The following is a 23,310-nucleotide window of genomic DNA, read 5'->3' on the forward strand; positions in this document are numbered from 1 at the left end:
TGGGCCTGCTGGGGGAAGGAGGCTGCATTCTCATTGATTTTCTTGGGTGTAAGCTTGGGAGTCCAGATCTTTTCACTGATGAAATACCTAGACAACCTCTACAACCCTGAAAGTGGACTTTGAATGCATGGGACATCAGCTGGGCCTGTTGGGGGGCATTTCAACCATGAGATTGGACACCAGAGGCATTTTGGCAAGTTTCAGGGCAAGGATGATTGGTTCCATGCCTTTTTATTCCCATTATTTGGATAGTCAAGTCAACCAAATGACAATTGACACAATTCAACACCTGTCCCATAAAGGCACAGGAAGAAGCGGAATTAAGCATCAGATAGGGTCAGTACATGCCTCTGGTTTTCTTTTTTCTTTTTCTTTTTTTTTTTTTGAGGCAGATTCTCACTCTGTCACCCAGGCTGGAGGGCAATGGCTCAATCTTGGCTATTGCAATCTCCACCTCCCAGGTTCAAGTGATTCTCCTGCCTCAGCCTCCCAAGTAGCTGGGACTACAGGTGTGTGCCACCACACCCAGCTAATTTTTGTATTTTTAGCAGAGAGGCGGTTTCACCATGTTGACCAGACTGATGTGGAACTCCTGATCTCAAGTGATCCACCCGCCTTGGCCTCCCAACATGCTGGGATTGAAGGCGTGAGCCACCACACCCAGCCTGGTCCTCTGTCTTTTTAAATATGCGTACGCCCTGCCACCCTTTCCTCTTCTTTTTCTCTCTCTCTTAGGACATAGCAGAGGGGTCTAAGTCAGGGGATTGTTTTGAGTTAGGACTAACAGGATGAGAAGTTAGCCAGGCAGACAAATTGAGCTCGGACGTGTGTTCTGGCTGAAGGAACAGAAGGTCCCAAGGCCCAGAGCCATGGATGCACCCTATAACTGGGGACTGACAAGTAGCTTGCTGCTGCTGGGGTGAAAGGCAGGGTGTGGCAAGGCCAGGGATGAACTTGGCACGGGATGGACTGTGGAAGGCCTCAGATTCTGAGAGACTTTCATTGTTATCCTCCGGACCTCGATGCTTTCGACTTTTTCGGTTGGATGATTCTTTGTTGGGGGACAGGGGTGCACACTGTCTTGTGTATCTGTGATGTTTAGCAGCTAGCAGCATCCCTGGCCTCTACCCTCTAGATACCAGCAGCATCTCCCTCCTCTCCAGATGTAACAACCAAAAATATCTCTCTAGACATGCCAAATGCCTCTGGATGGCAGGGGCAAAGTTGCCTCCAGTGAGAACCACTGTTTTAGGTGCTAAGAAGCCTCTGAGGCTTTGGAGGCAGGAGAGTGGCAAGGTTAGAACAGCACTTTGGATGGATGGTTCTGCAGTGGCACAGACAGTGGATTTAAGGGGGCTGACAGGAGGCAGAGAGACTGGGTTTGGGAGAGGGTGGGAGTCATTTACAATAGCTCTGGAAGGACAGTGTATTAGTCAGGGTTCTCTAGAGGGACAGACTAATGATATAGATCTCATATGAGTTTATTAAGGAGTATCGACTCACACGATAACAAAGTGATGTCCCACAATAGGCTGTCTGCAAGCTGAGGAGCAAGGAAGCCAGTCCAAGTCCCAAAGCTGAAGAACTTGGAATCCGATGTTCGAGGGTAGCAAGCATCCAGCATGGGAGTAAGATGCAGGCCAGAAGACTAAACCAGTCTAGTCTTTCCATGTTCTTCTGCCTGCTTTTGTTCTGGCTTCACTGGCAGCTGACTAGATGGTGCCCACCCAGACTGAGGGTGGGCCTGCCTTTCCGAGTTCACTGACTTAAATGTTAATCTCCTTTGGCAACACACTCCCAGACACACCCAGGAACAGTACTTTGCATCCTTCAATCCAATCAAGTTGACACTCAATATTAACCATCACAGACAGAATGTGGGTCTGGCCTGGGATGTGGACAGTGGGGGTGGGGGTAGAGGGAGCAACCAAGAGACAGGATTAGCGGGGACCAGACATGGCAACTGATTGCATGGGGAAGATGATGCAGGGTGAGAGTTTAAGGCCACAACAGCTGGCCTGGGAGCTGCAGGGATGGGAGCCATTCTGGGGAGGGGGCATTGGTCTGGGTAGACCTTGATGACCCACCCAACTCTGCTCATTCATTCACGCATGCTCACATCCCCTCTCCCCATTGCTCCCTCCCCTACACCTGTGCACCTCCTGTCAGCTTTCTGGCCAGCAGAGAAGGCACCTGCCACCTTCACAGCGGAGTCTCCCCAGCCGACCCCCTCTACTGAGTTTTCTGGGTACCCTTGACTCTCTTGCTGACACCTGCTGCTCCTTGAAGCCTAGGACTCAAACATAATGATCATTATAATTACCATTTATTGAGCATTTCCTGGGTATTATTATCTGATATTCTGTAACTCAGCCCTCATCACAGCCCTTTCACTGAAAAGAGAAAGACTCAGTGATGGGAAATGCTTACACGCACTACTGTCCCCTTGCCTGTGATCCCCAGGGGGCTGGAGCCATCACCTGCTTCTCCACAGCCATGCCACCAGCCCCCGGCACACTGCCTGGCTCAGAGCAGAGGTGCAGAGAGAGTTTGTGGAATCGATGAAAGGATTCGGGTCACACAGGATCTGGTGGTAAGGGCTAGGATGGGAAGCCAGGTCTGTCTGACCCCAGAGCTCAGACAATTTCTGTGCCACATTTTTCTGTTTTCCTTCATATTCTTTCAAATAACATACATCTATTTTGAGTGGATAAATGATGAAAGAGTGAATGAAACAGCATCGCTGGTGGTCTTCAGCCTTTCTTTCACCTGCCTGGAAACAAATTTTAATTCCTACCCAAGGGTAAGCTAAGTAAGTTTCCAGACTCAGGGTATATGTTTTCCTTACAAGCCTGGAATCTTCCTGCATCATTCGGGATGATTCCAGCAAGGGCTGTCATCTGCCTCTGGCAGACAGACAATTGATCTTATCCCCTGCAGGTGTGTACAATGTTGCCATTAATGTGTGTTTTGGAATTAAAGCCACCTTCCAGGGAAGGACGATATATTAAGCTGTTTGCCTTTAACACTTTAGTGTAAATTTGTTTTGTTTTGTTTTGTTTTTGAGATGGAGTCTCGCTCTGTTGCCCAGGCTGGAGTGCAGTGACAAGATCTCCGCTCACTGCAATCTCCATCTCCCAGGTTCAAGCAATTCTCATGCTTCAGTCTCCCAAGTAGCTGGGATTACAGGCATGCACTACCACACCCAGCTAATTTTTGTATTTTTAGTAGAGACAGGGTTTCGCCATGTTGACCAGGCCGGTCTCGAACTCCTGACCTCAGGTGATCCGCCTGCCTTGGCCTCCCAAAGTGCTGGAATTATAGGCATGAGCCACCATGCCTGGCTATATAAGTCTATTAAGCAGCTGCTTTCTGAATGGACCTCTAGTTGAGCGCAAATGCCTATAGAATGAGACAGGGAAGTTTCCGTATGGGAAAATGTGTGGTGCCCTGGGCAGTATGAAAGATCTGGGCAAAAGGGTTAGAAATTTGCCACAAGTGATGGGAGGAGTTGCTAAGAGAAAGATTGAGAGTGTGTGGGAAACTGACCCTCTTTCCTTACTCGTTCTCCTTGGGGTGATCCTGGGATCTCATTTTCTATAGTTAGAGGGATTGTTGGGTTTAGCAAGAAAGGCTGGGAGCATTTATCTGTTTCTAATCCTATGATCTCTCATGAGCTAACAGGTCTAACTGCCAGTTCTGGGCTTAGCACTGGGGACCAGGAATGGTTAATTCACCTCCTCATCCTGGGAGACCCTTGTATACAGTTAGCCCTGATCTTGCAGAAACAGGCAGGCTCTCCTTGCAACTGAGTCAAGAGCCACAGGAACTGGAAGAGTTGAAAGATGCCTATCAAGGATGATTGGGGGGCCTCCCAGGAGAGGTGACACTGGATCTGGGCTTTGAAGGGTGTTGGGCAATGTGCAGCTGACTGTTGCCTCTGAGTGTGAGGCACAGAGAAGAACCCAGTGGGATCTCGTTTTGGGGGCCCCTGCAGCTCCCTTGAACCTCCCAACATGTGTCATGCTTTATTGTGAATTTGCGTGCAGTGTTGCCTCCCATGCTACGATACAAGCCCACCAAGGCAGAGTCAGGACGGTGCACGAGCAGTTCCTGTGTGTGTCCGAGGCCCAGATGGGCTGGCTCACAGCCGGCCTTCAGTGACAAATGAACGATTAGGGTGCAGAGCAAATACCACACCAAGTTGTTCCCATTTCTGCTTGCTTTGCCTTGCAAGGGTGCAGAGTGGTCAGGGGAACCCTTCTCTCCTGGGACTTGCTGTACTGTTTCAGCAGTCAGTCTTATTTGACCTTTCCTTAGCTCCTAACCAACTTTGATTAGATTCTCATTAGCAAACGGTCATTTTGTTTTCAATTCTCTTTATCATTTCTTCATTGTAGATTGTACAAGGGACCCCAATATTCTCAGACCACCTTGGATTGTTTGTTTTTCTTACTTATAAAAAACCAGGCCTGGCGCAGTGGCTCATGCCTGTAATCCCAGCACTTTGGGAGGCCAAGGCAGGTGGATAGCCTGAGGTCAGGAGTTCAAGACCAGCCTGGCGAACATGGTGAAACACTATCTCTACTAAAAATACAAAAATTTAGCCGAGTATGATGGTGGGCTTCTGTAATCCCAGGTATTCAGGAGGCTGAGGTATGAGAATCACTTGAACTTGGGAGGCGGAGGTTGCAGTGAGCCGTCATCGCACCATTGCACTCCAGCCTGGGCAACAGTAGTGAAACTCCGTCTCAAACAAACAAACAAACAAACAAACGAAACAAAACAAAACAAAAGAAAAAAAACCCAAACACTTTATTGATAGCTAACATATTACAAAGGAGTGACTATCATCAAGCGACAACTCAGCAAATGTTACCCGTTGAACGCATCCAGTAACCTCACCCAGCTCAGGAAAGAGCATGATGAATGTCCTGAAGTCCTCATCATGTCCTCTCCTAGTCAGTAACCCCCTCAACCCCATCCCAGGGTACACCTCTCCTGACTTCTAATCCTTTAGGTCAGTTTTGCCTGTTGTTGAATTTTATATGACTGGAGTCAGACGGAAGTGCTCTTCTGGCTTTGACTTCTTTCTCTCAGCAGTGTGTGCTAGAGCCATCCCTCTGGAGGTAATTGCTGTATAATACTCCACTTAGGCCAGGTGTGGTGGCTCACACCTATAATCTCAGCACTTTGAGAGGCTGGAGCAGTTGGATCACTTGAGCCCAGGAGTTCAAGAACAGTCTGGGCAACATGGCAAAACCCAGTCTCTACCAAAAGAATACAAAAATTAGCCAGGCATGGTGATGTATACCTATATTCCCAGCTACTTGGGAGGCTGAGGTGGGAGGACCACCTGAGCCTGGGGAGGCTGAGTCTTCGGTGAGCCGTGATGGTGCCACTGCACTCCAGCCTGGGCAACAGAGTGAGAGCCTGTCTCAAAAAAAAAAAAAAAAACAACAACAACAAAACTCCACTTTATAAATATATCCTAATTTATCCATTCCACTGTTGATGGATGTTTGAGTACTTTGCGATTTGGGGTTATTATGAAATAATGCTGCCATAAACATTCTAGAGCATGTCTTTTGGTGAACATGTGTACAATATTCTATTGAGTCAATACCTAGGGCACAGGATAAGCCTATCTTCAGCTTTAGTAGCTATTCCCCAATAGGAGAAATGTTCACTTTTGTCTCAGTCTCTAGACCAGGTATTCTCAGATTCAGCAATATGGACCTTTTGGGAAGGATCATTTTTTGTTATTGGAGACTGTCCTGTACATTGCAGTATGTTTAGCAGCACCCATAGTCTCTATGCCAGTAGCACCACCTCTCCTCAAGTCATGACAATCAAAAACATCTCAGATATTGCCAAATATCCTCCGGGGTGGGGGTCAGGGACAAAACAGTCTTCCCTCCTGCTGAGAACTGCTCTTTATAGTGTGAGTTCTGTGAGGACAGAAACCTTCCCTATTTATTACTCCAAGGCCAGGCGAGCAATAGGCACTTAAGAGATTTTTGTCTTTTAAAAGCAGCCATGAGCGTGGAATCTCCCCAGATGATTTGCCTCTTCTAGGACAGAGTGGTCCTGGGCACAGGCCATGGCTGATCAGGTCAGGCCCATGTGGTGCATGGCAGTGGCTAGGGTCCCTGAGTTAGGGGAGAGTGGCCAGGTCCTGTCTCCATCAGCATGCATTTGCAGGGACTGGTCTGTGGTCACGGCCTCTGTCGTCCTCCCTGACGACATTTACCCTGGTCCCCTCCCCTCTCCTCTGGGCAGGCGTGGTGTCCTGCACCTTCACGAGAGCAGCGGGATTCATGACATCGGCCTGCCCCAGTGGCAGCTCTTGCTCTGTCTGATGGTCGTCGTCATCGTCTTGTATTTTAGCCTCTGGAAAGGGGTGAAGACATCAGGAAAGGTAATATCTCTGTGTTTCTCTTTCACTTACTTGGGTGATCAACCTTGGGGGGTGTGATTATTTCTAGCAATAATTATGTAGCTGGTGGACAAAAAAGATGGAGCTGGAAGTGCAAGGCCTGGGTTCAAGCCCCTGTTCTGCCACTGACTTGGACAAATCCCTTCCCTTCCTTTCCTTTCCCTTCCCCAAATCTGTGTCTCCACCACAATAGGTTGAAGGGGTATAAGTGGATCAGAGTTCCTCATATTTTCCTGCCAAAACCTCCCTAATAGCAGAGACCAGGGACTGGGATACTGCCAAGGGCCTCACGACAAAGTCTAGAGATACTATCAACATGCCCTTGATAAATCTTGAATCTTGACCTAAATCTTCATGCAAATGTTGCATCCTACTCTGGAATATGACCATAAAATCAATAAATCCCCCCTCTGAATTTTTGAGAAAAAAGGATGCTCTAGAAGATATTCAGATGTATGCTGGATTTTGTGTTTCCTCGGATACAGAAATAAGTGCCCCCAGGGTTCCAGGTGCCTTGGAGAGAAGAGCATAGGTTTAGATGACCCATGAGGGCCAGTCCGGAGTTGGCATTCTGAACTTGGGTGACACTGTCCTCCTATAGTCAGCCTCTCATGGGTGGGAATATTCAGGAAATGGCTCCTGTTGATTTTTAGCCCAAGGAACATCATGGGAACAACAACCCCATTTGGACTCTACAGGGTCTATTTAGAAGCTTGACTATTAAAGAGGATATGGATGGGAAATTTTCTTTCCAGTGTTGTGGTGAGCTAATGCTGTGCAACAAACCACCCCAAAATGTAGTGACTCAAAATAACAACCATTCTATTGTCTCTCACAATTCTATGGGTTGATTGGGATCAGCTGGGTGGTTCTTCTGCTCCATGTGATATTCCCTGGACTACATGGCTTCACTGGGCTGGAATATTCTAGATGGTGCATACACATTGCTAGCATTTGGCACTAGCTGGGAGCTAAGTTGGAGCTGCCAACCAGAGCATCTTGGGATGTTTCCATATAGCCTTTCTATGGTGCTTGGGCTTCTCACAGCATGGCGGCTGAGTTCCAAGAACATGTCCCAAGCAGACAAGCCCCAGTGATGTACAAGTAGCTCTTCCAGTCACTGCTTGCATCATTCTTGCTATTGTCCCAGTGGCCAAAACAAGTGTTGAGGTAAAACCCACCGTCCATATGGGAGGGGATTACACACAGGTGTGAGTTCATTGGGGGCCACAGCGCAACAGTCTACCTTAATCAGGTGGGTGTCAATTTGGGAGAATCCTCATTAGGCAACTGATTTTGGAAAGGGGGGGTGCACCAGAGTTCTCTCTGATACTCTTAGAGTTCTTGGTCATGCCATTGAGAGCAAAGAAAGTAGCAGGGGAGCAGCAGCCAGTAGAGATGAAATCCATCAAGAACTGGAGAGAGAACTTCCTATCAGCATGTTGGGGACACAGTGTCTACCCTAAGAAAGCACTCAAACAAAATGCAGACCAGGGCTTGGAGAAAGTCTAGCGTTGAGCAAAACCAGGATAGGACCACTAACATTCTGATGCCTGGCACCTAGTAGGTCTTCAGTAAATATTTATTGGGTAATTGAAGGATGGGTGGGTATATAAGTTTGGGGAACTTCATTAAGTATTCTTTTGAATTTAGTTCAAAATATCAACATAGGAGACCTACTGTGTACCAGGCTTGATGCTAATACTAGTGATGCAAGAATAAGACAGGTTCCTTCTTCAATTGCTTTAGTCTATGTGTATTACAGGCAGGTTATGGATCAACCAATGTCACTAGCTTCTTGGGTCTCTATCCAGAGAACATATGTGTGTGTCCCCATTTAATAAAAACCTGTGGTCACAAACTATGTGCACTATTATATATCTTGCTATTTTCATCACATACACTTTTCAAAAATGAAAAAGTCTAGATAATAAGAGATCATTGCACAAGTAAAGTAAGAGCTGTCTCTTGGGATTTTTGTTTCAGTTACAGCAATCTCTAAGTTTATGTGTAGTTTGTCTTGATATTGAAGGCATTTCTTAGCCTGAGTTGTGGTCAAAAAGTGTGAGATGCTGCATTAGTGGAGAAAGGAAGCTCTTTCAACTGAAAGTGTCTCCAAAGACCATAGAGAAGGTGGCATTCGAGCTGGGTCTACAAAGTCAGGTGCAGGTAGAGGTGGGGTGGAAGGAAGGGATTCTTAGCAGAAGGAACTACATGAGCAAAACTGTAGAGATGTGGAAGCCCCAGGCCAGCCTTGTCTAGCACTCTCTGTGCCTTTCCTGGGTACCAGGAGCAGAGTTCTCCTGGCCTCTGCAGGCACAGACAGAGACCCTGAGGGGAGACAGGGCTCAACCCTGTGAATTGCAGAAGATATATGAGCTTTATACTGCTTCTGGCCTTGGCATAGGACCACCACAAACTTCTAACATTGCACCCCAAGATTGGGTTCCCCAATGCCATCACCAAAGAGGGTAGAGCCTGCCCCGTCTAGTTTAGCTTCTGAGTAGAGTGGAGTATATGTTGTCTGCAGGCAGGCTGATGCAAAAGAGACTGGGAGGAGTAAGGCTGAGCATGCTCAGTTCTTTCCAAAATACACCTTCAGAGAAGGTAATGAGGGGCGAACCAGAGTGTTACACTAGGAAAGCCCCCATGTAGAAACACAATGAGAGAGGAATATGAGTCCCCTCTGCATGTGTCATCCGAAACCACAGCCCACATTTTGCATAAGTCCCTCAGTGTTCTGACCACTAAGCAGGCATGCCACAGGCAGTCCATGGAGAGGAGATTTTTAGAATGGGGAGCTTCACTTAGGACATTACTGTGCTCTGTCTTTAATTGTTTTTATAAACTGGCTTATGAGAAACCAAGAGTGTTGCTTATTTCTTTCTAGACTGAACCTGGAACAGGACATTGAGCCTTTCTTAGCAGGCTTCCATAGCCTCAGAGCTGGCCTCAAATGAATTGCAAATGTTCATACCTCCGGTCTTGGCAAGTGAAGGTTGTGCTGGTCCTGGCTTGCTTTAGTGACTTGATTGGACTCAATTATAATGAACAGCATCATTCACACATGAGTGAGGCATAGACTAAAATGTTTGTAGCTTGGTGTTTTCTTCAGTAACATCAGTGCATACCCCACACCCCATAAATCTCCCTTTTTAAAATCACAAATTCTAAATCAGTAAAGGGTAAATTAATGCAGATTTATAGTGGTAAAGTGCAGACATTTATCATCTCTGTTTTCAAGTCAACCTTAGAGTAGGTCCTGGGCAGTGTTTTTCAAACTCTCATGGGTGTAAGAATCACTGAAATGGCTTGCTGAAACTCAGATTGCTGGGTCCCTCTTTGAGAGAGTCTGATTCAGTGGGGATGAGGTGAGAATTTGCATTTCTGACAAGCACCTAGGTGATGCTGATGCTGCTGGTCTATGGAGCTCACCTTGATCTAGGCAGCCATTTTCTCGATGCCTGGATTCATAGCAAGGCTTGCACAACTTCAGTGACAAGCACCTCACCACCTTCCTGGGCAGCTCTTTCCCTTGAGAGAGCTCTATCAATTTGAAAATTCCTTCTTTTATGGAGCCAAGGTCCTCATTTTGATTGTGAGCCATTGGCTTGAATTTGGTACCCTGGAACCACACAAATTATCCATAGAAATACCAGCAGGTATGGATTTAAAGTGATAGAAAGCAGTGACCTCCCTTAGGGACTAAGGACATTTGCCAAGACCAATGGGCTGCTCATTGCTTTCTTGATGTTGTGCTCAAAATTGGACCAAGTCTAGGTTCTCATGGCCAGAGCTGTGTTGCAAGTTGAAATGCTGAGAGCTGAGAAGCCTGGGGTGGAGATGACAGAGCCCAAGCCTTTCTTCTGTTTACCCATTGTGCATTCAGGGCACATTTGAGCATGAGTGAACTGTTAGCCAAAGATCCAGGAATCCTTCTTTCAACACAAGATCTTAGGCAGCTGAAGTAACACCCACTGCCAATTCTGAGAATCTTCAACAAGACTCAGATGGTTTAGCTTTGAACACATGGGCACAGACAAAACAAGTTCCCTGCTTTCTTGATGCTTGAACTATAGTCAGGGTCTCAGCTCAGTCATGGCCTGATGTATTCCTTAGGGAAACTGAATCCATGGCCAACAAACATGGCCAATGCAGGACCACCTCCAGGCCCCATGGGAGATTCCCTGAAGTCAGAGGTCAAGATACGGTTTTCTGATGGGAGGAGTGTAGTCTCACCTGATTTGCTGGGCTGGGCATTGCAGCAGGGCTGCAGCTATTGACATGAGTTTTAGGAGACCAGAGCAGTTAGGACCAGTCTCAAGGAGATGTGAGAGCTCCTTCTTGTGCCTTTTGCCAAGGGCTTACACCTATTTGTCCCAGATCAGGAGACTGAATACAAGATTGATTAACGTGAGGTCACCCAGATGCAACAGCTTCACTTTCCAGGGCATGTTTCCCTCCTTATTTGTTATGCAATTTGTCCTTCCTGTTCTTGCCTCCCTGAAAGAAAACAAGTGGAAATCCCATTTCCATAAAGACCTTCTTAGAACAAGGGAGTGATGGAGAAACAAGTGGATAACATGAAACAGAGGAGGCTTTCCTGATTCCTTCTGAGCCCAGAAGATGTGACTACCACTATGCATTTACTCGCTCCCATGCTGACCCAGTTACTCATTCATTCACTTGTTCATGCATTTATTCTTTGACTTAGTCGTCCACTAACTTTCCGATTTATCACTTACCCACTCATTCATCCATCCATCCATCCATCCATCTACTCAACCCTCCACCCACCTAATCATCTTATCCATCCTTTTAACCAGCTACCCAATCATAATCCAGCCATCCACTCATCCATCCATTTACCTAACAATCCAATCATTCATCTACACCACTGCCCAGTCCAATCATTCGTACAATAAACATTTATTTGGACTCACATGTGCCGGATTCTGGGGATTCAGGTTTGAAAAATATAGGATTTTACTTCTAAGGAGCTCATGATCTAGTGGGAAAGACAAGTAAAGAAAGAGGATAAATCCCCATCCTTAAACATAAGTTTGAGAAGCATATGGCTTTATTTTCTATATCCCCATTTTTTGTTTAGAGCCCATATCTTTTTAGCCTGGCAAAGAACTTTCGTGTTTCAAGGTTTCCACTTTCCCCTTAGGGATATGGGAAGATTCCTGGGGCTACATAGTTCCAGGGATTTGAGGGGTGGAACCATCTGGCATTTAGGTTATAGGCCTTCTCATGTTTCAGCTGAGTCCTCCTTGAGTCTGACTACCTTGACCTTAGCCTGATTTTTCACTTGGGACACAGCCTTCTTTCAGCAAGGCTACCCATGGCTGCCTCTGCCTAAAGTGGTGATTTCTCACCTTGGCTGCACAATTTTATCATCTGGGGAGCTTTAAAAAAAATACTCATTTCAGGCCTACCCCTGACCAACTAAGTCAGAAACTCCAAGAATAGGATCTGAGCTTTAACATTTTTACCTATAACTTCCCCCAGGGTATTTGAATATGTAGCCAAGGGTGAGAAGGAATAGCAAGGAAACCTATATAACACCCCCATCCCTGTCTCTACCTTTCTTTTCTGTTCCTCCAACCTGGACAAGGGGATGGGGTGTTTCTTTTTAGTTTGGAGTAATCTCTTCCTTTGTGTGTTTCTGAATAAGGTACGTTGTCTGTGTCCCACATCTGTTCCCACTAAGATAAAGAATGGTCAGAGGTTCTGCTTTCTGCCCAGCCACATCCCTTCCTAGGCAATGTGCTTAGGAAAGAAAATATGCTTAAAGGGGGGTAAAGAAAAAAAGGAAGAGATAAACATAAGGGAGAGAGTGGAGGAGAGGGAGATGAGGGAGGGGAGAGCAAGAAGAGGGAGGGAGGATGGGAAGAGAGAAAAAGAGAGGGGGGGAGGGGAGAGGGGGAGAGAGAGAGAGAGAGAGAGAGAGAGAGAGAGAGAGAGAGAGAGAGAGAGACTGAGATTTCTAAATATCCTGCCAGTCAGATAGGTGCATGCAGCAACCAGTAGCAATGGTGTGATGGACACAGGACTGATGGGGAAAGGGGAGAGCACAAAGGTGGGTGTACTTAGTTCTGTCTGGTTCATGAACCACGCCTTGATCTAGGCAATCCTTTGCCAATGCCTGTATTCATAGCAACACTCGCACAACTTCAATGACAGGTACCTCACCACCTCTCTAGGCTCTTTTCCTTTAGAGAGCTCTATATATGGGAAAGTTCTTCATTTTATGGAGTCAGGAGTCTTTCCTTGAAGGAGTCAGGAGAGGTGGCTTTGTAGATGAGGAGGCATCTGGTGCTATGAGGACCTAGTCTTTGCCCTTGGCTTTCATCATAGTGCTATCCCCACTGTGGCTGACTCTCACCCTGGGTTCTGAGCTTCTCTAGGGTGTGACCTGTGTCCGTTTGCTGGTCTAGCCCTGGATTCTGGCTCAGGGCCTTGCCTAGAGCTGGAACTTGTAGCATGTGCTTTGGGTAAAGGAAGGTGGGAAAGAGCATGACTGGCTCCCTGGGAAAGGGCTCTGTGCCCCACCAGCCCGCCACGGGATTGGGGCCAGAGCGAGGCTCTCACCTGAACTTATCCATTGCCCAGGTGGTGTGGATCACAGCCACGCTGCCTTACTTCGTGCTGTTCGTGCTCCTGGTCCATGGCGTCACGCTGCCCGGAGCCTCCAATGGCATCAATGCCTACCTGCACATCGACTTCTACCGCTTGAAAGAGGCCACGGTCAGTGCTCAGTGACCACCAAGCCTTGGGCCAGGCTTGTGGGAGGGTTTTCAGGAGAAGGTGATGATGGAAAATCTGGTCCCAGCTCTGCCACAAATGTGCAGTGTAGCCTTGGACAGGATCCTTCCCTGTCTGAGGTGCAGCTTCCCCATCTGACCAATGCGGATTTGCACCTGACAGTCTCCATAAGCCCACCCATGTCTGGAGGCCTGGGATTCTGTGGTTGCATCTGGTGGTCTTCACAGACTACTCTTTTTGAGGAGAGAAATTCCCTGTGAAGAGGACATGATGTCTTGGGACCTTGCTCTTGCCCTGTGCCCACAGCTCCCTAGTCCACCCCAGCCATTCCCTGCCCTCTTTCTACTCTTGGATCCCCAAACCTAGTCTTTGCCACCATCCTGTGATGTCAGCACAAGGATAGTCTTAGCCACCAGGGAGGCCCTGCCAACTCTCTTCCCCAACACCCTCATCCAACCACTCCCCCTGTCCAGAGGCCCCAACTATGGTGAAAGTGGGTGAATTTGGTAGTGGAGTCCAGTGCAGAGCAGTGATGGTGGGAGCAGAGACAATCACAGAGGTACTCAGTACCTTGAGCATCTTCAGATAACTGCTGAGATTACTTCTAGCCTCCTCTTGCAGGGCCCCTCAGTGAGAACACCTCAACATGCTATCTTACAATTCTCCAGGGTTTCTTTATTTGAACCCATAATAATCCTGGCAGGCCCCAGCAGCACAGGATGAAGAGGGATGCATCCCAATATACATCTCCATAGTTGTAATGCTCCAACACACTGCAATGTTATAGACCGGTAACCAAGAGAAAACCTATTTTCATAGTAACAGCCAGAAAGATAACAGAGCATAAGACATGAATCAGCCTCGTAAATTGCAAAATAAGTCAGACTTCTATTTGTTCTGTGACTGTTTATGCCAAACCTTTCAGATGTGTAGAAGCTAAGCCCTCAGTGCAGTCTCAAGGAGCAGATCTGTCTTCCCCCATCAGATCATGCTGCCCTCTGTTTGCACAGGCATCTCTGAAATCTGAATTGCAAGGCTGGGCGCGGTGGCTCACGCCTGTAATCCCAGCACTTTGGGAGGCTGAGGCGGGCGGATCACTTGAGGTCAGGAGTTCAAGACCAGCCTGGCCAACATGGGGAAACCCCGTCTCTACTAAAAGTACAAAAATTAGCGGGGCACGGTGGCACGCACTTGTAATCCCAGCCACTCAGGATGCTTGAACCCAGGGAGTGGAGGTTGCAGTGAGCCAAGATCATGCCACTGCACTCCAGCCTGGGTGACAGAGTGAGACCCTGCTTAAAAAAAAAAAATCTGAATTGCAGCTTAGTCTGAGTGTGTGAGGTATAATTATCCCCATTATACAGATGAGGAAACAGACAGAGAGAAGTGAACTTGACCAGGGCTAGAACATGAGGCAGAGAAGTTAAAAAGGAATTCAGATCTTCAGGCCTCCGGCCATGTGCCTTTATCACCCAACGGATTAAATACGTAAGCCCCATTGGCCCCCAAGGAGTCACCATTGTCTATGGCTTGTAGAAGCCTCCTAGGAATGGTCCTCGCTTTCTGAAAATGCCATCTCCGTAACTCCTAAGATGGCCATAACCCTCTGTTCTTGCCCCATTCACACTCTAGCCTAGAACTTTTCATTTTGTTAACTTTCTTTGAAAATCAGGGCATGAAATTGAGTGAATGAGTTCCTACAGGGTGAGCTCACTCACGACTACCCAAGGCTGGGAGATGCTAGAGAGGCCCAGCCTCTCTCTGCAGTTGTTTTGTACAGGATGCAGGGGAGGGAGTTGCCAGGGCTGCCCATCTCTGGTTCAGACCATGTTTCCTCTGGTCTCAGAGCATCCCCAGGGTTTCTCAGCCCTTCCGGACCAGTGAGGTGTTCCAGTGTTGTAGGAAGCAGAGGCTGATGGCTTTTGTCTGCTGGTTTCAGGTATGGATTGATGCCGCAACTCAGATATTTTTTTCCTTGGGGGCTGGATTTGGAGTATTGATTGCATTTGCCAGTTACAACAAATTTGACAACAACTGTTACAGGTAAGATTCTTCTCAGAATTCTGAGAAGCTCTAAATCCTGGGGATTGACTCTTGTTGGGTGGCAGAGAGGGCTCTGGTCTGGAAGCCAACTCTCCCTGGGCAAGCCAAATTTTCTTCTTGTGAACCATCCTGGGCATTCTATAAACTGCGACATGGCCTCTGAGGGTCCTGATGACCACATTTCATTTCAGGATGCCTCTTAAACAAATGTGAGGTGTGGAACTGGGAAAATTGAGGTTACCACCACTGAGAGATGGGTAGTTATGACAGAGGAGAACTGTGAAGATTTCAGTATGGACTCTGTCCATCAGATGCCCAGGCAGGCAGGGGTGGAATATCGCAGCTGCTGAGGGCCTGGCAGGGTCAGAAGTGAGACTGCAGGGGAGACTGAGACTCAGAAGACCATGATCTAGCTCAGTTCAGGAAGCAGTCAATGCTACCTCCTGCTGGCCCAGTGCTGTGGGGACTTCAGGCATAGGCACAAATTTGGGTCCACTTCCATTACACTCCATCCAAGGCTTAAGGCAGAATCACAGTGTCTTTGGTACATGACAGAGTCCAGTGAATTCATACCAGCGGGACAGGCTATAGGGAGGTAAGGAAATGGGGTGATCAGCCCCCTGATAGAAGACAAGCCAGTGCATGGAGGTGAATTTGAGATGAGCCTTGGAGGATAGTTAGGATTATGCTAGGCAGACGTGGAGTGGACTGCATGCACTGGGGGGAGAAGCGGGACAACACAGGCAAATGCAAGGAAGTGGTTTGTTTATGGACCAATTTATGGTTTGTTCAGAGTACACCTTGGGAGTCATGGAAGATAAATATATAAGGAAGGCTGGGTCTTCTTAGCAAAGCTCTTGAATGACAGGATGAGGAGTTGGGAGGCACTGGGGAGCAGCCATGGAAGGTTTGTTGAAGGAAGCTGGTGACTCAATTCCCTGGCAGGAGTAGACTCTGGTATCAGGCTGTTGCATCCATAAGCAGTTAGCCTACTTCCTGCACCAGTGATGGTGAGGCCCTGTATCCATGTGGCAGCAGGAGCCACTGAAGGGGGGATGGCCTTTGAGGCTGGGGCCAGGCTGCAGGTTCTATAGCCAGTCCAGCAGTCAAAACACAGGGTTGAGGGTGTCAAGGGACTTGACCTCACTGTGCTTCTTCCCCCAGGGATGCCCTGCTGACCAGCAGCATCAACTGTATCACCAGCTTCGTCTCTGGGTTCGCCATCTTCTCCATCCTTGGTTACATGGCCCATGAACACAAGGTCAACATTGAGGATGTGGCCACAGAAGGTGGGTGGGCAGCCCACCTGGGCCCCAGCCCACTGAGGCGGGAGCTGAGAAGCCCACCTTATTCTTGGCTGCATGGCTCTTCCGTGGCTGTAGGAATACTGGGTTGTCCATGGAGGTGTCCAAACCACCCATGTGATTGACTTTCCTTTGAGGTTATTAGTGGGCATTCCAGGCAGTCACAGTCCCCATGCATGTAGGAGAACCTTCCTCTGAGTCAGGGTGGAAGGAACGGATTTTGGACTGTCCTCTCTGTACCAGCCCTGGGCTAAGCACTTGACATACCTCCACTTAGTTCTCACAAGGCTGCCGGGCAAGTGTCAATAGACTCACTTTACGAATGGGAAGACTGAGATGCAAGCTAAATACATTGTCTGGCGTCACCCAGCTAGTGAGCAATTGTGCAATAGTATTCACACCCCAATCAATCCAGCTCTGGAGCTTGTGTCCTTCCCTGCAGCTTCCCATATCCTTATGGCCACAGAGAAGCTGAGACCTGGGGAAGGGCTACCTCTAATGCACTCCGAGGACCCCAAGCTTTAGTGAGTAAGAGTGGATCCCTTATAGAGTATAGTAGGTGGGGTTTGCAGCATGTAGCCTGTAGCTGTCCAGGCAGGGAACTGCTCTCCAGACTGGCTGTTGGGGGTCAACCTCTCCGATGCACAGGTGAGCTGTAAGTTCATGCTGATTTCATCTGTTATCTCTAAACCTGTGTTCTGTCCGCCCACACATGACCGAACAATTGGGCCCCCAGATACTCCCCTATCATGTGCAGCTCAGACCAATGGTTTCAGCCATTGATGAGGTCCTTGATGTTTCTTACAGGAGCTGGCCTAGTGTTCATCCTGTATCCAGAGGCCATTTCTACCCTGTCTGGATCTACATTCTGGGCTGTTGTGTTTTTCGTCATGCTCCTGGCGCTGGGCCTTGACAGCTCAGTGAGTGACCCTGCTTAGGATACCTATCCCCCATCCCACTGGGCCTGACCCCCTTCCCCAACACACAGTGCTGGGCCTGAAGTTCCCACTATTCAAACACCAGGTTAACAGTTGTTTCCAGAAGGCCCTATTTAAATGCAGACAAAAAAAGTGAGTCCTCACTCAAAAAGATAAGACTTAGGCCATAGCCAAGAACCATAGGAACCCCTTTGACATCTTGGAAATCCAAAAGAAGAGGCTTCAGATAAGCCAGCCCCACACTGTCCTCTTGCAGGTGGGGAAATGATTCAGAGGCAACACAGATAAAATCTTGTGCTCTAAACAAGCATTTTCTCATTATATTTTATTATCAATAATCAATAGGCCAGGCATGGTGGCTCACTCCTATAATCCCAGGGCTGTGGAAGGCTGAGGTGGAAGGATTGCTTGAGGCCAGGATGTCAAGACCAGACTGGGCAACATAGGGAGACCCCCGTCTCTATAAAAAATTTAAAAAATTAGCTGAGCATGGTGTTGTATGCCTGTAGCCCTAGCTACTCAGGAGGCTGAGGTGGGAGGATCACATGAGCCCAGGAGTTGGAGGCTGCAGTGAGCTATGATTATACCACTGCACTTCAACCTGGGTAGAGTGAGACCTGGTTTCTAAAAAACACCTCAAAACCCAAACGAACAAACAAAAACATTTTGAACCCAGTAGTTTCTTACATCCTTTTATTTTATCCAAATGTAAGATTGGATTTACTGACATCTTTTTAAATCTATGTCTACCCTTAGTACCTCATGCCTGGACATTTGCAAAAAATCTTATGGAAGGGCTGGCACTTGGTTTTCCTCCCACTGCCTTTTGCTTTCAGTCAGCAGATCTGCCAGGAGCAGGGAGTTGAGAAGGATTTTGAGGCTGCTTCTGGGCTTATAATGAAGAATACTGATTTTGATTAACAGTGTCTGCCAAGAGGAGGGGAGAGGAGAGGAGAGTGGTAGCTTGCATTCTTCTTGTCTGCCCTCACATTGTCCTCATAAGGAAGCAATCTGCCCATAGCAGTGGGATATGAGACCCTTTCAGACTCTAAGAGTCTGGAGTTTGAAGTGACCACTTTGCTTGATCATTAGAAAGGCAGCCAAAAATCCTTATCAAAAACTGCTGCCTGAAGTTCCCATCACTAGAAGCTCTTCTGCAGGAGTTGTTTCCAGAGACACTTATTGACATGTAAACGTATGACATGGGTTTTGGTGTTTTACTGCTTTCACTCCACTATCAGCTTATCTGTACCCACTCAGGCTGAGTGAGTGTCAGGAGACAGGTAGCTGTTGCGTAGGGGAGACAGGTGTTGACTTAACCCTCACCCTCTCCCACGTAGTTTCTGAGTTCTGAGTTTGCCTGAGAACAGGACAGAAATGTGACGAGAGGATGGGGAAGGCAGGACGTGCTGATTTCTCGAGAGAGGCAAGGCAGCCTACATGAGTCCTGGGCTGCAGGAGGCTCTAGGAACCCTGGGGCCTGAGACTGAGGTCCAGGGAGACCCTAATTCCTGCACCCCACCCCTCCTGGTTCCCTCCAGATGGGAGGCATGGAGGCTGTCATCACGGGCCTGGCAGATGACTTCCAGGTCCTGAAGCGACACCGGAAACTCTTCACATTTGGCGTCACCTTCAGCACTTTCCTTCTCGCCCTGTTCTGCATAACCAAGGTGAGTAGGGGCTGGGCTCTGGGTCACCTGGGGGCCTCTGAGGCCGCATTTCAATAAAGTCAAACATTCCTAGCCTTAGAACTGGGGCTGAGCTCAGGGAGAACAATGCAGGATCCAGCATCCTCAATTCAGCGGCCTGACCCACTAGGGTTAGGCCCAGTAGTCTTCTTCCATCTCTGATGCTGAGGATTCCATTCAGCCCTGTTAATTGCTTATTGACTTGAGGGGCAGCAAAAGTCCCTTTGGAACCCATCTAACTCTTTATTGGCTGAAACTGAGGTGACTGTAACGTCAATACAACAGCACCACAGCCCTATGCCCTGGGTTTTCAAATAGAGCTCCGAGCAAGTGGGACAGGGGGCAGGTAAGAGTTGACAGACACAACAATCAGTTCCCACGTTTGACCAAAGAGGGCCTCTTGGCTTCTTCTCTCCCTGTGCCAGGGTGGAATTTACGTCTTGACCCTCCTGGACACCTTTGCTGCGGGCACCTCCATCCTTTTTGCTGTCCTCATGGAAGCCATCGGAGTTTCCTGGTTTTATGGTATGTGAGTGTGTGGAAAAGCCTCAGCTCCCAGTCCTCCTAGAATCCTGCACCTGGAGGTGTGCAGGGAGGCCTTCCATTTCCAGGACAGCCACCTAAAATTCCAGAGTCCAGCAAGTCACTTATTGGGAACAAATCTCAATCCTCGGCTCATCTTTGGATGAACCTGCCCTTAACAGGAGGCTGCAAAGGCCCCTGGGCATCAACTCCTAAAAGAGGAACCCTTAGGAAAATGCTGACCCCCAAGTCATATAATTCATCCTACCAGGGGGTTGTCAGATTTAGCAAACACAACACGGGTTGCCTAGTTAAACTTGAATTTCAGATAAATAACAAATAATTATTTAGTATAAGTATAGCTCAAATATTGCATCGGACATACTTACCCTAATTTTTTTCATTATTTATGTGAAATTCAAACTTAACTGGGTATCTTGTATTTTTTCTGGCAAACTTATTCTGGAACAGAACTGAGAGAATATTTTACAAACCCTTAAATGTGTTAATTGTTTGTTTTTCCCCACCAAGTGTCACACCAACATGTTAGTCCTGTTCTCACTCTGCTGCCACTCAGAAAGAGATTCAATGGAAGAGTCTGGGCTCTCCTATCAGATTGAAGTCAGGGAATGTGCTGTATGCATAGTTGTTGTTATTTTCAGAGCAAGAGTAACCAAGAGGAAAGAGCTGGGCTTTGGAGTCAGGCCAACTGGCTCTGGAATTTGGGGCAAATCCCCTCACCTCTTTGAGCCCAGGTTTCCCTCTGACAGGTGAATTGGGGTGACACATGAAAGGGGATACTGTCCTAGAGTTTGTCCTCTCCCTCATTCTGCATTACAAAGGGCCCATCCCCGAGTCTCCCTAGTTCCAGGGTATCAGCATCTTGCCTCACTGCCCTGCTCTCCACCTGGGGCCAGAACCTCATGGGAGGACCTGGCCCTGGCTATCATGGGGGCCATGGTAACAGGCCTGCCCTGTGTGTGCACAGGAGTGGACAGGTTCAGCAACGACATCCAGCAGATGATGGGGTTCAGGCCGGGTCTATACTGGAGACTGTGCTGGAAGTTCGTCAGTCCTGCCTTCCTCCTGGTGTGTAGTGTCTGCAGGGAAGTCCTGCATGTGGGGAGGGGGCTGTGTCCAGGATGGAGCTGGGTGAGGATATTTGCTTCTTAGGGGAGGAGGCTCTGGGATCCAGAGGCCCTGGTCATGCAGAGGGGTCACTTGGGATGCTTGGCCCTGTGGATAACGTGGTAGACATCCACCTTACTAGGGGGTTCTCCAGCTGGGGCCAGGTCCCCGGGGGCTGTTATGCCTTCTCCAAAGTCACCTTCTGTTCTTCCTCTTTTCTTGCTCCCTGTCATATCTGCCTCCTTTTGATTATCACTTGCTTCTTGAATTCTTTCTTATTTCTCCATCTCTTTCTCTTTTCCACTCCTTCCTTATTTCCTCCCTTTGCTGTGATGCTCACTTCTCTTCATTTCTCTCCCACCTTTCTTCCACCTCCTTCTCTCTTTCCTTTCTTGTCTCTCTTCTGTCCTGTCTTCCTTTCTCTCCCTTCTCTGCCCATCTCTAGTTCGTGGTTGTGGTCAGCATCATCAACTTCAAGCCACTCACCTACGACGACTACATCTTCCCGCCCTGGGCCAACTGGGTGGGGTGGGGCATCGCCCTGTCCTCCATGGTCCTGGTGCCCATCTACGTCATCTATAAGTTCCTCAGCACGCAGGGCTCTCTTTGGGAGGTGAGCTCTGGTCCTCCCCAGGGGAACAGGGTGGGAGGGGGCTGAGGGGGAAGACGGGACGACTCTCATTCCTGTTGGGGTGGGGGAAGGGACAGAAGGACACAGACACTAGGGTCAAACGGACCCACCTCATTGGCCAGGTTATTTTCCCCCATGAGCCTCAGTTTCCACATCTGTATATTGAGGATAATATTACGTACCCCAAAACAAAAAAGAAGTACTTAGCACAGTGTCTGGCGCACAGGAGGTGTTCAGTACATGTTACTTGGGGGTGAGCTCAGCCCTGGAGTTCACTAAGGATTGATTAGACAGACTGCCTGAACCCAGCTCACTGTGATGTCTCTGTCTAAGATTTGTCATTTCCCAAGATGTCCCAGCTCTCCCCATCCAAGCCCACTGTGATCTGCTCCTTCTGGTTTTCACCTGCCTCTTTCCAGAACCTAATAATCTGATCAGCCTAAACCAGAGATTTCTGAACTATTTCTTTCTATGCATTCTGCATATATGTCAATATTTATACATATGTATATATGTACATGTGTGTGTATATACATACATGTATATATACACACACACACACATTTATATAAATATTTAGGAAACTGCCCTTTATTCTGAAATTATGTCACTCCTATTTGATTAAAATATCCTTTCTTTCATAAACTAATAGTGATAATCTTTTCCTCATATCCTTACTTTACAAAACAAAGATGATTTCATTCCTTCATTCCTTTATCCACTCACTTGGAAGGTATTTATTGGGACGCAGATATATGCTGGGTAGTATTCGAGGCACTAGACAAAAATTCCTGCCCTTATGGAGTTCACATTCTAATCAAGGGCAGGTAAACAAAATGAGGATGGAAGGCATCCTTGGGAGCCACAAGGAAACTCAAGGAAGGGAGTAACAGACAGACAGTCCCCATCCTCATTCTTTGTGATACATTTCCTGTCTGTGAAATCCCTAAGTCTGGTTCCGGGTCACTGGGAGGATCAGTGTTCAGTGACCTCATTCTAGACATGGGAACTGGGACCTGAGCCTTCTATTCTTCACACTTTGGGAGTGGAGAGGCTTCCTGCTACCAGTGATCAATTGTTGGTTCAGAACACATGGCTTGAGACCCCACAAGTGCCTCCACTGCAGGAGGGCTTTCCTGATTCCCTGCAGGGCCAGAGGCTTCCTTCCACACTCTCCCTGCTGCACTTTCTCCATTCTGGGTCTAAGATGATGTGTGTGTTTGTTCATTGCCAGTCCCTTACATGGGCGGTAAGCTCCCCCAAAGTAGAGACTGTGTGGGTCTCCTTCAAGTCTGGATCCACAGGGCCTAGCCCCATGTCTGACCACAGTAGGCAGCTCAAGAAACAGTGTCTGGATGAGTGACTCAATGGACCAGCTCCACAAACAAAGCTGGAGGTGTCTTGTACAGACCCCAAATGCTATCCATGTGGGGCTGCAGGATCAAATAGCAGGTGGCCCTCATCTGGGGGTGCAGCCAGGCTGCCAGAAGGGTGTCCCTGGGCCAAGCTGAGGCCTCCTCCCCTTCTCTTCCTTTCAGAGACTGGCCTATGGCATCACGCCAGAGAACGAGCACCACCTGGTGGCTCAGAGGGACATCAGACAGTTCCAGGTGGGTGAAGCCTAGACCCCTGGGGTGGAGATTACAAGGGCGGGCCCTGGCTGTTCCCTGCTGTGCACTGCCCAAGGCTAGACATCACATCCAGAAAACCCAGAAACCCAGTGTGAGCTGCCTTTTCCCCTTGGAAACATCGGGATGGGGGACAGGGAGGCTCACCTTGAGCCCATGGCCTCAGGCTTGCCCTGTGACTTTGGGGAGGTTCTGCTGCCCTTTCTGGGCCTCTGTGA

At 48.1% G+C, this 23,310-nt stretch overlaps 1 protein-coding gene across 12 annotated transcripts in view; it reads left to right on the forward strand.

Moving 5' to 3' along the window:
* Nucleotides 1–23,310, forward strand: part of SLC6A2 (solute carrier family 6 member 2) — a 50,205-nt gene that overhangs the window by 22,873 nt on the left and 4,022 nt on the right. For 8 of the 12 annotated variants that reach the window (NM_001172501.3, XM_011523295.3, XM_006721263.2 and 5 more), the window contains 10 exons: nucleotides 6,283–6,421; nucleotides 13,058–13,192; nucleotides 15,150–15,253; nucleotides 16,418–16,542; nucleotides 17,365–17,477; nucleotides 19,037–19,165; nucleotides 19,609–19,708; nucleotides 20,694–20,794; nucleotides 21,279–21,446; nucleotides 23,003–23,074. In NM_001172501.3, coding sequence (NP_001165972.1) covers nucleotides 6,283–6,421; nucleotides 13,058–13,192; nucleotides 15,150–15,253; nucleotides 16,418–16,542; nucleotides 17,365–17,477; nucleotides 19,037–19,165; nucleotides 19,609–19,708; nucleotides 20,694–20,794; nucleotides 21,279–21,446; nucleotides 23,003–23,074 — 1,186 coding nt within the window. Of the gene's footprint in view, nucleotides 1–6,282; nucleotides 6,422–13,057; nucleotides 13,193–15,149; nucleotides 15,254–16,417; nucleotides 16,543–17,364; nucleotides 17,478–19,036; nucleotides 19,166–19,608; nucleotides 19,709–20,693; nucleotides 20,795–21,278; nucleotides 21,447–23,002; nucleotides 23,075–23,310 lie in introns of those variants that run through there. The other 4 variants (XM_047434511.1, XM_047434510.1, XM_047434512.1 and 1 more) reach the window with 3 other exon arrangements.

This window comes from Homo sapiens, chromosome 16, assembly GCF_000001405.40.
Source record: "Homo sapiens chromosome 16, GRCh38.p14 Primary Assembly".
Lineage (NCBI taxonomy): Eukaryota > Metazoa > Chordata > Mammalia > Primates > Hominidae > Homo > Homo sapiens.